The 15,463-nt window shown below is 49.0% G+C and overlaps 1 protein-coding gene across 19 annotated transcripts in view, besides 8 other annotated features; it reads left to right on the forward strand.

Annotated features, from left to right (window-relative positions):
* Positions 1 to 15,463, forward strand: part of SNX29 (sorting nexin 29) — a 597,554-nt gene that overhangs the window by 329,684 nt on the left and 252,407 nt on the right. The gene's annotated exons all lie outside the window — the stretch shown is intronic.
* Positions 4,595 to 5,102: an enhancer, noted in NCBI's record as "H3K27ac-H3K4me1 hESC enhancer chr16:12404869-12405376 (GRCh37/hg19 assembly coordinates)". NCBI's record gives its function as "activates a minimal SCP1, AML or CMV promoter by ChIP-STARR-seq in naive H9 embryonic stem cells {active_cell/tissue: H9 hESC(naive)}" and the evidence as "EXISTENCE:reporter gene assay evidence [ECO:0000049][PMID:30033119]".
* Positions 5,103 to 5,609: an enhancer, noted in NCBI's record as "H3K27ac-H3K4me1 hESC enhancer chr16:12405377-12405883 (GRCh37/hg19 assembly coordinates)". NCBI's record gives its function as "activates a minimal SCP1, AML or CMV promoter by ChIP-STARR-seq in naive H9 embryonic stem cells {active_cell/tissue: H9 hESC(naive)}" and the evidence as "EXISTENCE:reporter gene assay evidence [ECO:0000049][PMID:30033119]".
* Positions 6,909 to 7,409: an enhancer, noted in NCBI's record as "H3K27ac hESC enhancer chr16:12407183-12407683 (GRCh37/hg19 assembly coordinates)". NCBI's record gives its function as "activates a minimal SCP1, AML or CMV promoter by ChIP-STARR-seq in naive H9 embryonic stem cells {active_cell/tissue: H9 hESC(naive)}" and the evidence as "EXISTENCE:reporter gene assay evidence [ECO:0000049][PMID:30033119]".
* Positions 7,957 to 8,644: an enhancer, noted in NCBI's record as "H3K27ac hESC enhancer chr16:12408231-12408918 (GRCh37/hg19 assembly coordinates)". NCBI's record gives its function as "activates a minimal SCP1, AML or CMV promoter by ChIP-STARR-seq in primed H9 embryonic stem cells {active_cell/tissue: H9 hESC(primed)}" and the evidence as "EXISTENCE:reporter gene assay evidence [ECO:0000049][PMID:30033119]".
* Positions 8,645 to 9,330: an enhancer, noted in NCBI's record as "NANOG-H3K27ac hESC enhancer chr16:12408919-12409604 (GRCh37/hg19 assembly coordinates)". NCBI's record gives its function as "activates a minimal SCP1, AML or CMV promoter by ChIP-STARR-seq in primed H9 embryonic stem cells {active_cell/tissue: H9 hESC(primed)}" and the evidence as "EXISTENCE:reporter gene assay evidence [ECO:0000049][PMID:30033119]".
* Positions 8,645 to 9,369: a biological region, named in NCBI's record as "Sharpr-MPRA regulatory region 2664".
* Positions 9,075 to 9,369: an enhancer, noted in NCBI's record as "tiled region #2664; HepG2 Activating DNase matched - State 5:Enh". NCBI's record gives its function as "activates a minimal TATA promoter and a strong SV40 promoter by Sharpr-MPRA in HepG2 cells {active_cell/tissue: HepG2}" and the evidence as "EXISTENCE:reporter gene assay evidence [ECO:0000049][PMID:27701403]".
* Positions 10,387 to 11,318: an enhancer, noted in NCBI's record as "H3K4me1 hESC enhancer chr16:12410661-12411592 (GRCh37/hg19 assembly coordinates)". NCBI's record gives its function as "activates a minimal SCP1, AML or CMV promoter by ChIP-STARR-seq in naive and primed H9 embryonic stem cells {active_cell/tissue: H9 hESC(naive and primed)}" and the evidence as "EXISTENCE:reporter gene assay evidence [ECO:0000049][PMID:30033119]".

The following is a 15,463-nucleotide window of genomic DNA, read 5'->3' on the forward strand; positions in this document are numbered from 1 at the left end:
AGTATAAAACGAGGTCTGTTTAAAATGAATTAAACAGACATTTAATTCATTTTGTAGTTTGTTGAAATAGAATCTTTGGCTGGAGAATTAGCGTATTACAGAGCCTTTGAAATCTTTGTCCTTTCCTGGCCAGGGCTGAGCGTGTAAATGCCTTTGAATACGTGTTTCGCTGTCTTTGTAACTACATTCCCTCCAGCGGAAATTGAAGGCAACTTTCAAGTTTAATGATGATTACACTGAGTTAGGCCCCTGCTGATGGCAGCACTCCTGCTGCAGCGGCATGGTCTTTGGGGATAATATTCAATATTGCTTCCCCAGCACTTTAGAAATTCTTCAGAAAAGTTACTAGGGATCCGATAGCAAAGGACAACCTTGTCAGCCGAGCTGTCCTGTGTAACTCCCTGGTGGCCAGCCCCTAGTTTGGGCAGAAGCTTTGTCTTTTGGGGAGGTGGGTAGAGTGACTGTTCTTCAAGGGTTTGCCATAAGAGAGGGCTTCGGTGATCGCAGGAACACAAGCTTCAGGGCTGCCTGCACCCCCTTGTGCAGGGAAAGGGTGTGAGGGAAGTAGAGTCATCCTTTGGAGGGACCCGGAGTAGATGCTTAGTATGGGCCTTACAAGGGAGGGGAGTTCCCTGAATTGGGCCCCTCTCCTCTGAACCTCTGTTTCCTTCTTCTTAAACAGTTTGTGAACAGGCTATTTTATTTTAGCAATGGATTTCAGAATAGTGCTCTGTCAACTGGAATGGCTTTGATATAGAAAGAGTTGAGTTGAAATTCTGTGTACTCTTAACCACTCTTGGTCTACATTTTTTCCTCGCTCACATGGCATGGTGATGCCATCTGCATATGATCACGAGGATGAATGGTTTTACATGCAGGTGCCTGGCCGAGGGAGGTTGTGGGATAGATGGTGAGTGCGGTTGTTAAGGCCACAGAGAGAACTGTATCCTCCAGTATAAAATGAGAAATGCAATTCCTGTCATTAAATGAGGTGATGTCACTAACATCATGAGGACAGTGCCAGGCGTGTGGAATTCTCACATTTGTGAATGTTGAATGGGGTATGGATGCTTTCATGCAGGGCTGGTCTGGGTACAATTTTGTCCCCACTTTATTCTGTGTCTGGACAGAGTTGGGAAGCTTAATAGGTGTCAAACATTTGCCTGCTTAATGCCTAGGCCAAGAAGAGGGGAGAAGTTGTCAGCAGTAGAATGTAGAGGCTACACAGGGTCATGAATGGTCTTGGATTTGCCGAAGCCTGGAATGGCGTGGAGAATCTGTCTTGAGGGCCTGCCTGTCTGCACAGTGGTCAAGGCCTAGATGCCTTTGCTAGGCTCGGCCTTGGCTGGTAGGCACCAATGTAGCCATCAATGGCAAAACACACCTCCATCGGTCAGCAAAGTCCTGCTACCCTGAGATCCTCTCATGGTGACGTTCACTTCCCCAATGACCCTGACCTTCTGAACTCCTGGCCCACCAAGAGATGGGAGAGAAGAGGTGGGCTTCCTCTGCAATCAGGGTCTGTTTGAGTTGTCTTCAGGACAAACAACGTTTGGTGTAGACAGAGTGCTGTGTTAGCCACTGAACCCATCCCTCATTCTGCCTTCATGGTGCTCATATGGGAGAGATGCACAGACAGGGTCTACCTCAGCTCTGGCCTCCCAGTGTAACAGTAGCCTACAGCCTGCGAGGGCTCACTGCTGAAGGTGATGCATGGTCTCTGCTCTGAGGGTTTTTCCCCAACCAACAGCAGAGATGGCACCTCGCTGGTGGTGCTGACACCCGGCAGGCAGGCACATTTATGCCTACTGCTCATCTGTCCCCACCAGGTGGCATTCCACAGAATCACCTGCTCATGGTGGCTTCTGGGTCCCACAGCCTCTACTGTGTATCATTCTGATTGTCCAGTAATGTGAACGTTTCCCTCATGGGGTGTGGGGTATTTACGGATTTCATCCAGGCTTTGGGTGGCATGTTATCCCTTCTGCAGGGATCAACCTCTTAGTAGCGGCCACATCCTGGATTGTTGCTGTAGCCTGGCACTTCTGGGGCCCTCTGCAGATACTGTCATTAATCCTCAGGTCACTCATGCCAGGTGGGTGCCATCGTCATCCCTCCTTCATGTTTGTCAACTTGTTGTGCACTCCTCCGGAGTGCCTTCCGTGTGCTAGTCACGGCTTCGAGTGCCAGGGATAAACAGGAAACAAGACAGAAAAAATCCTCGACTTCTAAGGTATAAGGCAGACTCTTGCAATGCCTGTGTAATATTTTCTACTGCTATTTACACATAAATGGTATTTCTAGATGGGTACAAATTAAACACGAGTCCATCAGTTTCTCAGCTGGAGAGTCTTGACAACATGTAAGGATTTATTTATCTAATGAGCAAAAGAAACAAGAACGCCTGCCTGCAAGTCCCGGTGGCTGCAAGTGTGATTATGTAAGCTGTCCGTTATATCGAAAAGTGCTAGAAGACTCTTAAGCCTGTTGCATGTAGGAAGGAGAGAATGAGTCGGGGAAATGCAGGTCACAACCAGCTGGGGCTAATGGGACAAACATAAATGGTTATGGCAGAGACTGTTACAAAGGAAACCTCACTTTGAGAGAGGCAATGGAAAGGTTGTCTCTCTTTGGGCCATTAGCATTGACAGAACCTGCTCTCAGATTACCCACCAAGTGTGTTTCGGAGTTATTTGGGGGTTCTGCAACCCTGCTGTGATTTCTATATACAGCAAGAGATGGGAGAGAAGAGGTGGGCTTCCTCTGCAATCAGGGTCTGTTTGAGTTGGGTTCAGGACAAACAGCCTTTGGTGTGGACAGAACGCTGTGTTAGCCCATCCCTCATTTTGCCTTTTTGGTGCTCAAGTTGGGGAGATGCACAGATAGGGGCTACCTATCTAGCCTCCCAATGCAACAGTAGCCTAAAACCTGCGAGGGCTCACTGCTGAAGGCAGTGCATGGTCTCTGCTCAGTTATTTATCCCTCTGGAAGCCCTTCTTCCCTGATCCCCCCACAAGTAACCTGTCCCCTCCCATCTGTTGCTCTCTTGGCCCCTCTGTCTCATTTTTCTTGGTAGCACCCAGCAGAGACATTTATTTGTGTCCTGTCTGGCTTCTCCATTAGCTTGTCCACTCTTTGACGGCAGAGACTGACTTGTTCACCATGGTGTCCCAGAGCCCAATGTGGCACCTGTCGTCACATAGTAGGTCTTTTCTGAGCATGTGGTGAAGGAATGGGTGCCCACAGTGATTCTCAGAGGGAGGTGGGTTCTCACTCGTTACTTGAAGTGAATGTGTTCAACACTCTTAAATCGCTCCCGCCAGTTAGTATCTGGCTGCAGGTATTGAGTGGTTTGGAGGAATTGGAAGGGTTTCCTTTAGAAAGGGCAGTGGAGTTGAAGGCACCTGCGTAGGTGTCATGCAGTGCCTTTGACCATCCCCTACCCTTGGTCTGAAGTCTGTGTGTATCCCCTCAACTCTGCAGCTGAAGTTCCAGCTTGGTGCGAGTTTGTATTTTGTCTTGATACTTCTTGAGCTAAATATGCAGCAGAGTTCAATCAGAAGCAGGATCACCAAGATAAACACAGACGTGTGCACGCACGCTTGCACACATGGATGTGTGCACACATATGTACACACACGCATGCACGCACATACATACACATGTGCACACATGCACACACATGCACACATACACGTGCACGCACACATGCATGCACATACACACTGCATAGTTGACATATGGTGTTTACCGCTGCACCAGCTAAAGTTCTCTCATGTCAGAGATCATACATGCATTGCATTAGGAGAGACTCACCGAAATGCTACTTGACCCTGAAAAAAGGATGTAACAATGAGATAATACTCCAGCTTCAAAGGCAAGGTTCTCATTCCCCTCCTAGGTTTTTATCCTAGAGAAAAGGAAATACACGTTCACACAAGGACTTGTGCACAAATGTTCAGAGCAACTTTGTGTTAGCCAACTAGAAAAGGCCAAATGGCCATTGGCAGTGAAAAGATACACAAGTTGTGTCAAGGAGGAATGAACCATTGGCACGCGTAACAGCATGGATGAATCTCAAAATAACTGTGTGCCAAGTGAAAAAAAAAAAAGACCATAAGGAGCATATGCTGTATGATTCCATTTATAGAAAACTCTGGAAAATGCAAACTAATCTATAGGGACAGAAAGCAGATCACTGGCGTCTGGCGACGGGATGGGAGGGTGGCATTACCAGGAGTCTGAAGGAACCTTTGGGGGTGGTGGACATGTTCTGTGTCTTGTGATGGGGGTTTCACAAACGTAAACATATGTCAAAACTTGTCAGAAGGTATTCTTTAAATATGTGCACTCTGCTGTCTGCTGGTTAAACCTCAGTGAAGCTTAAAAAAAAAATAAAGGCAAGGTGGGAACTGCCCAGGGCATCCTGGCACATAGGAGCAGTGCCCTGCTGCAGGAAAAAACGTCTCAAAATCCATCAATTCAGGGCAAAATAACGAAGAAGTAGCACATCCCCCACAGGGGAGGTTTGTTCTTTCCTAAATAACAGCTGTGGGAGAAGGGAAGGAGGTAAGTGATGAGATGGGGCTTTCCTGGGAGGACCATAACTTAGTTATAAATTATAATAAAAAGACAGTGAATAAGGTTTCTTGTAAAAAGAAAGTTATAAGTGAGGGCTGGTCCTTCCTAATCAACTCGATAGGGCAGAGCTGCATTGCTAAAAAATTAAGCTCTTCATTTGAAACCCTGTTGGGAACTTCAGGGAGTTTTTTTCTGAACCCCCCGCCCCCTACCCTAGGTAAAGAAACTTCTTTCTAACCTTTCAGTGCCTCTCTCCCAGAGCTTGCTGGATTGAGTAGAGATCTTTCCTACCAGGTTCCATTACAAAGGGGACAGGAATTGAAGCCCTTGCTCCAAACACAGCCTCTCACCCCATGACATTATTTGCACCCCTGTCCAGGTGTTAGTTTCTCTGGGCAGCCCATAGGGACCTCCCAGGCAGGGCTCACACCCTCCTCCGTCCTCCTTTCCTGGCTCCTGGCTTCCTCTGCTGGCTGGACTGCACCATGCTGGCCGCCTCCCATTTCCTCCAGGAGATGCAGGGCGGTTGAGCTTGCAGCTCCCTCTGCCTGAAATGCTCTTCCCAAGGCCGATGGCCCGTCCGCCTTTAGGTCTGAGCCCTCCCTTCCTTGAGATGGCGTGGCTGGCCATGCCTAGATTCATCTCCAACCCTTCACCCGGCTTATTTCCTTCGGAAAAACACAGTCTGTTACTTGTTTCTTTGTATGTTGTCTGTCGCCAATTCCAGTGTGAGCTGCTGGAGGCAGAGAGCTTGGCCATCTCTGTACATCTCTGCTGTATCTATGGCACCTGGAGCAGGATGGCAGCCTAAAACTGGGGCTTGTTTTAGTGAGAGTGTTGGTTTAACTTAACATAGCTTATCATTGGGTTAAATAAGATAGAGTTATCTCTATCTTTGCATAAAAGTATGAAGTGGTAGGTGTGGGGTGGGTAGGCAGCTCTTTTCCATGAGGAACCGGGGCCCAGGTTTCTTCTGCTTTGTTACTCCACTGGCCTGTGGGAAGGGTGTGTGATCCAGAAGTTGCTCACATCACTAATTTCCACATCCTGCTGGGCAGAGTTTAGCTACTCAGGTGGCTGCTCTGAGCTGCAAGGGAAGCTGGGAAATGTAGTCTTTATCTTGCAGCCTTGTGTCCAGCTACAACTTGGTGGGTTTTTTAACTCAAAGGCAAAAAGGATATTGGGGGCTATTTAGCAGCTGCAGTGCTTGATCTGTATTTGATGAATGAATGAATGTCCCCATCCCAGCCCCCTGCACTTCCATCTAGCACAGCACTTGCTGCGCTGTCGTTTAGTCAGGGCTTGCTCCTCTCTGAATTTCCAGCGCTCAGCCAGAGCCTGGGTATAATAGACACTTAGCAGAGGTTGAGTTGAAAAACTGGCAACTGCACTGTAGAGACTTTACCTTAACTCTGGGCCATTGGTGAGAGTGAGGGTCTGTTTTTGAGAAAACCCTGTTCGTCTGCAGGAAGAGCTTTCCTTGTAAATGTAGATGAAAATGAAGTGTCCCATTGAGGCAGGTTTTACCCGGAAATAAGCTCCACGAGCCAGAAGCAGAGGTGAGGCGTGAGGGCAGGGGAGGCCAGGGGGTCTCGCATTTCTTGGGAGCTTAAGATCTCGTACTTCATCTCCCCCTCCTCAAGAACCTTCTTTGCTGAGTGTCAGATGTTTCTGCTTGGCTTTGGGACAGAGGGGGAAGAGCTTCCAAGTGGTCCTATTGCTTAAACAATTTATAGGCCAAATAACTTCCATGGTAAGGGAGAAACTGATATTCGTGATGTATTATTTACTGTTAGGCAATGGAGATAGAGGATGTTTTACTGAGTTCACACTCAGACATTCCTGTGACCATTCTAAAACAACCAGTTCTACCTCATCCTGAGACTGCTTTAAAAGCCCTTTCACAGAAGGCTGTGTGGCTTGCCAGAGGTGGGATGGCCTTCCGAGTCAGGGGGATCTGGCTTTTCAGGTCTAGCATTGTCATAAAGGAGCTTCGGACCCTGGGGAGACTTTTTGTTTTCTGTTTTTTTTTTTTAGACGGAGTATCACTCTGTCACCCAGGGTGGAGTGAGTGGGGCGATCTCGGCTTACTACAACCTCCGCCTCCTGGGGTCAAGTGATTCTCCTGCCTCAGCCTCCTGAGTAGCTGGGACTATAGGCGCCCACCACCATGCCCGGCTAATTTTTGTATTTTTAGTAGAGACGGGGTTTCACCATGTTGGCCAGGCTGGTCTTGAACTCCCAACCTTAGATGATCCACCTGCCTCGGCCTCCCGAAGTGCTGGGATTACAGGCGTGAGCCACTGCGCCTGGCCTGGGTTTTTTTAAACCTCTGAGAAGCTTGGTTGATGTGTCTGTGAAGTAAGGATAATTATGCCTACACCCTGAGTTGTAGAAGGGGTAAAATGGGGTTGCCTAACTACAGGATCACCCCAGGGCCTTTATACCTGCCCTTCTCTCTTCCGGGAAAGTCCCTGCCACCATGGCTTGATAAGTTCCTGCCAGATGAGAAGTGCCCTTCCATGACCTGCCAGTATGAACTGGGGCAGCCTCCGTCAGCCCTCTTGTGGAATTCCATCTATCCCTTGCAGCATCGTCCCAGCTCTGAATTCGGTGGTTCTTCTTGTGAGCGTTTGTTTCATGTGTGTTATAGCAGCTGACTCAGGGCCCCATGAGGGCAGGGAAGTCTCAGTTCTGCTCATTGTTGCATCCCCCACACCTCACCCCATGCCGGGTATGGAGTCTTAATTGCCCCATTGGTATCAGTTGAGTCAGTGATTCTGTATGTGACAGATGATCAGTAAATTAGAGCCAATCCAGTTGAATCCTATGACAATGGCTTCCTATAACATAGAGGGTATTTATGATCCTTGCTTTACAGCAAATGAGACTGAGGCTCAAAAACAACCATCTGGCTGTTAAGTGGAGGGCCTAGGACTCAAGTCCAGTTCTTTGGTTTCTAAGCTAATCATTCTTTTGCTTATGTTTATTTTTAATTATTTATAGAGTCAAGGTCTCACTCTCTTGCTCAGCCTGGAGCATAGTCGTGCACTCACAGCTCACTGCAGCCTCCAACTGTTGGGCTCAGGTGATCCTCCCACCTCAGCCTCCTGAGTAGCTGGGAGGTCACAGGTGCATGCCACCAGCAGGCCTGGCTATTTTTTTATTTTTTTTAACCTTTGTACAGCTGGGGTCTTTCTGTGTTGCCCAGGCTGGTCCCAAACTCCTGGTCTCAAACGATTCTCCTGCCTTGGCCTCCCAAAGTACTGGCATTACAGGCATGAGCCACTGTACCCAGCTTGTTAATTGTAGAAGTACCTGTTGGATGAATGGTCTGCAGATGTAACATATGCACATAGTTTATACCTGAAAGAGAAGCAGCACAGAGTGGTGGTTGCGAGTGGACTCTGGAGCCAGACAGCTCAGGCTGGACTCTTGGCTCCGTGACTTCCTAGCCGTGTGGCCTCAGCCGAGTTCCCTAGCCTTTCTCTGTCTCATTTTACTCATCTGTAACATGAAGGTCTTAATAGTGGTTTGTTGTGAGGACTAAATGAGTTAGTGTTTATGAATAGGCTGGAATGGATCCTGATATGCAAGATATACCACTTAAGTCTTTATTTTAAAAACTTAAAGCTGTTTCTTCAGCATCTTCTTTCCTGTGAGCTTTTGCAACTGAGGTTCTTTGATTCTACAGCTTGGTGGATTTTATAACACTAAATCAAAAAGAATGTTGGGGGATAGTCAGCAGTTGCAGTGTTCACTTGAATTGGTTCTGATTGAAACTGTGGTTGAGCAGAAAGAAGCAGCAGGAAGAATAAAAGCCATCATGTCCTTGCCCTTGATAGATTTTGGTGGCTAAAACATGACACACACGATGTTATTCTGTCTCCTACCGGGAGGCCTGTGGCACCAAATTCTCGTCTTCTCAATAATCCTTGAGTGGTTTCTGAATTATTAATGGATGTGGTATTAGCAAACCACAAGTTCCACAAAATTGCTCTAGGGCTGGCATTTGACAGGCAATTCTGTTCCCTAATTTTCTGCACATATCTTAATTATGACTTCATGGGCTTGTACCTTTTAATCTCTGGTTTCATCCTCTGGAATCATGGGAGGCCTCACTGTCTCCTTTTGTCTCAGGGGAATGATAGAACCCCTGGTGACTGTGAAGCAGAAGAAGAGTGGCCAGGTGCATTGGACCGGGCTTCAGTGGGGCCTCCCAGTTGAGAGTGATGCAGAAAATTATTGTTGTTGTGATATGTCAAACAGTAGGGGCCTTGCTCCGGACCAGGGATGAGTATTTTTCTTCCATAAAGGGTGGCCAGAGAGTAAATTCTTTACACCTTGTGGATCTAACGCCTCTGCTTCCAGCCCTCAACTTGGCTGTCATTCCAGGAAAGCAGCCAGAGATGCTATGTAAACAGAACACAGCAATGCTCATTTGTTATGTGGATGGAATTGTGTTGCCCCCATCATTTACATATTGAATCCCTAACCCCCAGTGTGAATGTATATGGAGATAGGGCCATTAAGGAGGTAATTAAGATAAAACGTCATTAGGGTGGGGCCTGTGTGCGTGCAGAGATGAGACAGTGTAAAGACACCACAAAAAAGATGGTCATCTGCAAGCCGTGGAGTGGCCTCAGGAGAAACCAACCCTGCTGGCACCTTGATCTTGGACTTTGCCCCTCTACAACTGTGGGAAGTAGATTTCTGTTGTTTGAACAACCGTCTGTGGTATTTTGTTACCACAGCCCTAACAGACTAATACAGTTCCAATAAAACTTATTTACAAAAATGGATGATGGGCTGGATTTGACTCATGGTAGAGAGTTTGTCACCCCTGCTCTATAGGACTGTCAATATTGTTATTAAATCAGGAGGCATCTCTTCTGGGTCAGGGGCTGGAGATGTAATGGGGTGAACTGCATCAGGCCTCTGCTCCCATGGAAGATCCTTTCTAGTGAGTGAGATAGACACTCAACAGATACACAACTGCGTAGCCAGGCTGTTCTCAGATACAGCTGAGTGCTCCGAAGAAGGCACGGGGTGATGTGATTGGGTGAATGCTGGCTGGGGAAGGGAGATGTTGCTTGAAGTACAAAGATCTAGGAGGGGAGCATCCCAGGCAGAGAGACAGCAAAGGTGAAGGCCAGAAGCAGGAGAGCTTGGCAGATTGGAGGGACTGGCTGTAGCCAGTGGGGCGGGAAGAATTTGGGATAGGTTCCACAGGGACAGGGCTGACTTGTCTAAACTAGCATCAGATTCAAAAGGCCTCTTCTGGGAGGCCAGGGTGGGTGGATCACAAGGCCGAGGTGGGTGGATCACGAGGTCAAGAGATTGAGATCATCCTGGCCAACATGGGGAAACCCCGTCTCTATTAAAAATACAAAAATTAGCTGGGCGTGGTGGCAGGCACCTGTAATCCCTGCTACTCTGGAGGCTGAGGCAAGAGAATTGCTTGAATCCAGGAGGCGGAGGTTGCAGTGAGCCGAGATTGTGCCACTGCACTCCAACCTGGGAGACAGAGCGAAACTCCATTTCAAAAAACAACAAAAAAAGTCCTCTTCTTACCCAAATCGGGATCTTGCTCTCTCTCACCTCAGGGGCCTCCCTCCCACTCCTTCTGTGCCCCCCAAGGTCTTTGTTATGCTCCCCCTGCCCCGTTCCACATCTTAAGGTCCCGCTCACTGGGCTTGGTTAGGGCAGGCACACTTCCTTCTCTCCCATCCCTCCTTCCTGCCCCTGGCTTCTCTGCATCCTCTTCCCTCCTGGCTCTTTCTGCAGCCCTCCCAGGGATGGAACCATGAGCTCCAGGTTGCTGCACAGTGATCCTTGAAGGTGGTGGAAAGTGAAATCTTCTGAGGCCTTTGGGAAGGTATGGAGGGGATTGAGTAGAGAGACAGGTTTTCAGTCTCATTCTGGTTATTGGATTCAAAATTGATCATACAGTGGTGGCTAGGGCAGGAGCCCATCACAGAGGGCTAGAAACCTCACATTCAGTGATTCCTTTATTAAATGGAATGTAACTTGAATTGTTCTTTTCCAGTTTGCCTCCTACCTGCCCAGGTGAGAGGAAATTCGGTTACAGTGTTTCTCCCAGAAGTTTTCTCTTTCCACTTTCCTATTGTACAGGCACCCAGGACCTTGGAGAAGGGAGTGGCGGACTGTCTTTAGGTTAACAATCCATGGGGCAGCTGCTCCAGTGCCCATGCATGGGCCTGTGAAGGCTTGGCTGCTGGCTGTCACTCCCTCCAGAGACACACTTGGGTGCAGGGACCTTCGCAGGCCCCAGATGCGCAGGACTCAGTCTGAACAGGTGGCTCCCCTCGTCTTCCCCCTGGCTTCTGTGTGTCCTTCTCTGTCTTGGCTCTTCCGTGAAGCCCTCACAAATAAGCTGTCCTTACAATGGGGCTTAATGACTCATTGAGAGATGCTGGGAGTTTGGGCAGCTGGGCCCCACATCCTAGGGTGACTTGAGAACCTGGTGGCCCTTCCTGTGCCTTTAGAGCCACAGTGGCCTCAAGGATGGGAACGTGCTGCTTGTAAAGCCATAAAGAACAAATAACATGGCTTAGATTTCTGTGTGCTGCCACCTAACACTCTCACTTCCTCACCCTGTGAGCAATTCATTGTGCATTTAATTAACACCTGACATCAGCTTCACAGGGACTAAGTGTGTCTTATGCACCGTCTTGTGCCTAGTGGCCAGCAGACACAAGCTGTGAAATGAGTGTAAAATGAATTAAATGAACATTGTTAACTGGGTGACCCTGGATATGTTCCCTAACCTCTCCAAGCCTCAGTCTCTTCATCTGCAAAATGGTGATGCTAATGACTCCCCGTGCCGGGGTGGGGGGTCGAAATGAGATAATGCAAGTAAAGCATTCAGCCCAGGACCCGACTGAGAGCTGAAAGGTATCAGCACCTGCCATTTCTACCGGCCTGGGGGAAACACGCTTAGTTTGGATGGGAGTGGTAATAACAGCCTTGGCTGAGGCGGTGGTTGTCATCACGCCACCGATGGAGGACTGACCTTGTGTTCGGCCCCACGCTGGCTCTTGGTGTTCTTCGCTGTCAGCGGTGCTGTGACTGAGACATCCTTGGCCCATTTCACATGTGAGCCCCCACGGCTGCAAGAGAGTGAGCTTCTTCCAGAGAGGGCGGCAGAGCCAGGATTGAAATTCACATCTTGCTCCGAGCTCATGCACACCTGGGAGCCTGCATGTTCTTGCTAGATTTTACAGCCAGCAGGCCTTTGTTGAACCGTAAGCAGCAGCGGCCTTGATCAGGCTGGTTTTTCTGCCCAGAGGCCCCTTTGGCATCGTGACTCAAAATTTTCTCTGGGTATTTTGCCTTCTTGCTGATGCATCGTTTGCCGGATGGGAACCAGCAGGTAGAGAGTGTTGGCTTTCTGCCTCCGGTCAGAGTCGGGAACGTGACTTGGATACAAACTCAGCATGGAGGGAGGCATGACTTGGGAGGGCAGAACCCGGCAGCTTCATTCCCATCCTCTGTTGGTGGGGAAGAGTGAGCAACTCACAGGTAGAACCAGGACAGTAGTCAGGGCTGTTTAAAAATTTAGGGCTCCTGGCTGGACGCGGTGGCTTATGCCTGTAATCCTGTTCCTGGACCAAACCGAGGGTTGCGCTGCTTGTTCTTATGGCCCAATAACAAGATGCAGATGAACTGGGAAGAGAAGAATTTTTTTTTTTTCTGTAACGAGGTACAGGGAGAAGGCTTAGAAATTATCTGCAGACCAACTCAAAATTACAAAGTTTCCCGGAGCTTACATACCTTCTAAGCTACGTGTCCACGTGTAAGTGTGCATTCCTCTAGAGACCTAAGTGATCAGCTTCTTCTAGTCTATGACTAAGGTCTGAGTCCTGAAGACCTTCCTCTAGAGCTTCAGTAAATTTACTTAATCTAAATGGGTCCAGGTGTGGGCGTGATTACCCTTATCTTGTCTCCTGCTAAATCATGGAGGTTTGGGGAGTCCCTTCAGACCCCCAGTAAACTTGTTTGTGGAGGCCTGGGGAGTTTCTTCACATCCCCAGTAAAACTTGTTTAATCCTTCGTTATCTTGTCATGCTTCAAGGCCCAGGAAAGGCCTGGGCACAACTAGGGGTGGGCTTTTGTTACATTCCAGCCCTTGTATAAGGGCAGTAGCTCTCTCAGCTTTTAATATTTAACTTAACCACTCAGTCAGTGCTGACACAATTGTTATAGAGGCCTGTGTTAGTGAGAACTGGCCTGCCACAATCCCAGCACTGTGGGAGGATCATTTGCGGCCAGGAGTTCGAGACCAGCCCAAGCAACATAGACCGTCTCTACAAAAGTAAAAAGTTAGTTGGGCATGATGGTGCATACCTGTAGTTCCAGCTACTGGGGAGGCTGAGGTGAGAGGATTGCATGAGTCCAGGATACTGAGGCTATAATGAGCTATGATCACCCCAGCCTGGGTGACAGAGCGAGACCCTGTCTTAAGAAAAAATTAGGACTCCTATCCCACCTCTTCAGAGACACTCATATAAAAATACAGTGTTTCCAGCTGCCATTTGTTGAGTACCTGTTGGCGGTGAGCCAGACTGTTGATCTGTGATGTTGTGTTAAATCATCCTGGCAAGGAGTGAGGTAGTGATGAGGAGGGCTGGTTTCACAGACCAGGAAACTGACCCGCCAGGAGGAGAGAAGATTGTCTCGGCCATAGCTCTCTGTAGTGTGCTCTGGGCTCTGTGTGCCCAGAGCAGCTCAGCCCAGATCCACACCACAGCCCCAGGTGGTCAGTATCACTGCAGCTTTGTTAACTATGGAGACTTCAAAGCAGGAAGGGGGAGGGATGCACACCCTTTCTCTTGGAAATTTCCTGGAAGGCAAGAACTGCTCGGGCTCAGCCATAATTAGTTCCTTGGTGGCAGGTTTCTTCAGCCTCCCACATGGGAAGAAACCCGAGTAGGTTGTGGAAATGCGGGTTCCAGGAAGCCTTGCCTGACAGCTCCTGGCTGGACGTGGCTGCATCTCGTCACTGGTCTCCCTGCTCCTGGGGAGCTGCCACCTCTCTGCAGTCACCTTCCAGTGGGGCAGACACAGATGGGTCCTAAGGAGAGAGATGAACAAAGTAATCACTACTGTGCTAAGACATAGTACGCTTGAGAGACAGAGTAAAGGGCCGACCCTGACTTCCCAGGGGGAGGTCTCCCTCTGTGCAGGTGTCCTTCCAGGATGAGAAGGGGCCAGGCAGCTGGAGACTTGGGCAGGAGCATAGCAGGCAGAGAGGGCACAGCCTGTGCACCAGCCCTGCCATTGGAAGGGGCTTGGAAGGAACTGCAGGAGAGTCACCGAGAGCCAGAACCATGCCTGTCTTCCTGCCGCAATGCCTGTGCCCAGCATGGGGGCTGGTGCGTAGCAGGTATTTATTTTTGTCCTGAATGAATGTGAAGACAGGAAGCGCTCAGCCACCATCATCAGCCCCAAGCTGTGGGAAGCAGAGGTCAGAGGCTGGGAACCGTGACACGTTACTGGTGCTTTTTTGGTGACCTCACTGGAGAATACTTAAGATTAACCATGTGTGTGTTTGTGTATGGATGTGAGTGATCCCTCACTCATCCCTTCTAGAATGTTCTGAATTGCCCACTGTGTTCCAGGCAGTGTGTCATGTGCTGGGGAAACTAAGATCACTCCAGCATAGACCAATTTCAGGGAACTCAGTTTAGATAAATGAGGCCGATAAGAGAACAACATCACCATGCATTGTGACAAAATGACACTGACTCTTCCTTCCAAACTCAAGAGTTGTGATCTAATCAGAATCGTGTTCCAATTCTTTAGATGAAAAGGCAATTGGGAGTTTAAGCAAATCTGGGACCTGAGGTTGCCTTAGGTCCCACATTTGGGTGCTTAAAAGGATGGCGGCAGTGTTTAAATGTTGATAAACAAGAACAGAAAAAAGCAACACGTTTGTTTTTCGTTATCTGTCCATAGAGCAAATCAGGACTGAGGCGATAAGGCCTGAGCACAACCTGTTGAAGAAAATCCTCACCCTCCTCATCTAGCCTCCTCCAGGAGGTCCTTACCACCATCCCGGTTCCCTCCGCTGCCTCCTCCAGGTCTCAGCTTCCCCATGACTTCCAGAGTGTCCCTTCTGTCAGCTGCCACACTGCTCTGTTCCTACCACATCCCAGTCTCACCCCACCACAGTTACCACTCCTGCTCAGACCTCATAGTCCCCCTTAGTTCCCCACGCAGGGACCAAAGCCACCTTGTCTTCTCCAGCGGCCACCCTCCCCCTCAGAACAGGGACACTCCATTGGAGTAGGTTCACTGTGTCCTGGAGGAATGACTTCCCAAACCCAGTCCGACCTAGCTAGAGAAAAACATCTCAGCCTTTCAGAATTTAGCCCCCACACTTCCACCTCTGGAATCACAGTGATTCCCAGGCCAGGCCTGGGAGTGAGGACAGGTGACCTGTGTCAAGGGCATATGACGTCATCTGTCATAGCTATTTCTTTCTTCCGTGGAACATTGTTGCAGAGCCTTTGAGAGAGCGGGGGGAGGAGTGCTTTGTTTTTGGAGCTGTGCAGGTGGTTGAGAGATTAGGGGATGAGCTCCAGTGAGCAGATGAGCTCAAAGAGGGCGCTGAGAGCTGGGCTGAAAGCGCACGCTGGAGTGAGTGTGTAAGTGGGCCTCCAACCAGCCTGTGGATACCCAGGTCTTATGAGGGCCCCGGGGAGAAGAAACTTGGGCCCAAACAGATGGCAGGTGTAAGAGTCATAGATCTAGTTCTCAGAGGACAAACACATGCTACCACCCACTCAAAGAGCACAGGTCCTGATGGGACTTCCTTGGTGGGGTGGGGAAGACAGAGAGCCGGGGATATCACAGC

This window comes from Homo sapiens, chromosome 16 (assembly GCF_000001405.40).
Source record: "Homo sapiens chromosome 16, GRCh38.p14 Primary Assembly".
Lineage (NCBI taxonomy): Eukaryota > Metazoa > Chordata > Mammalia > Primates > Hominidae > Homo > Homo sapiens.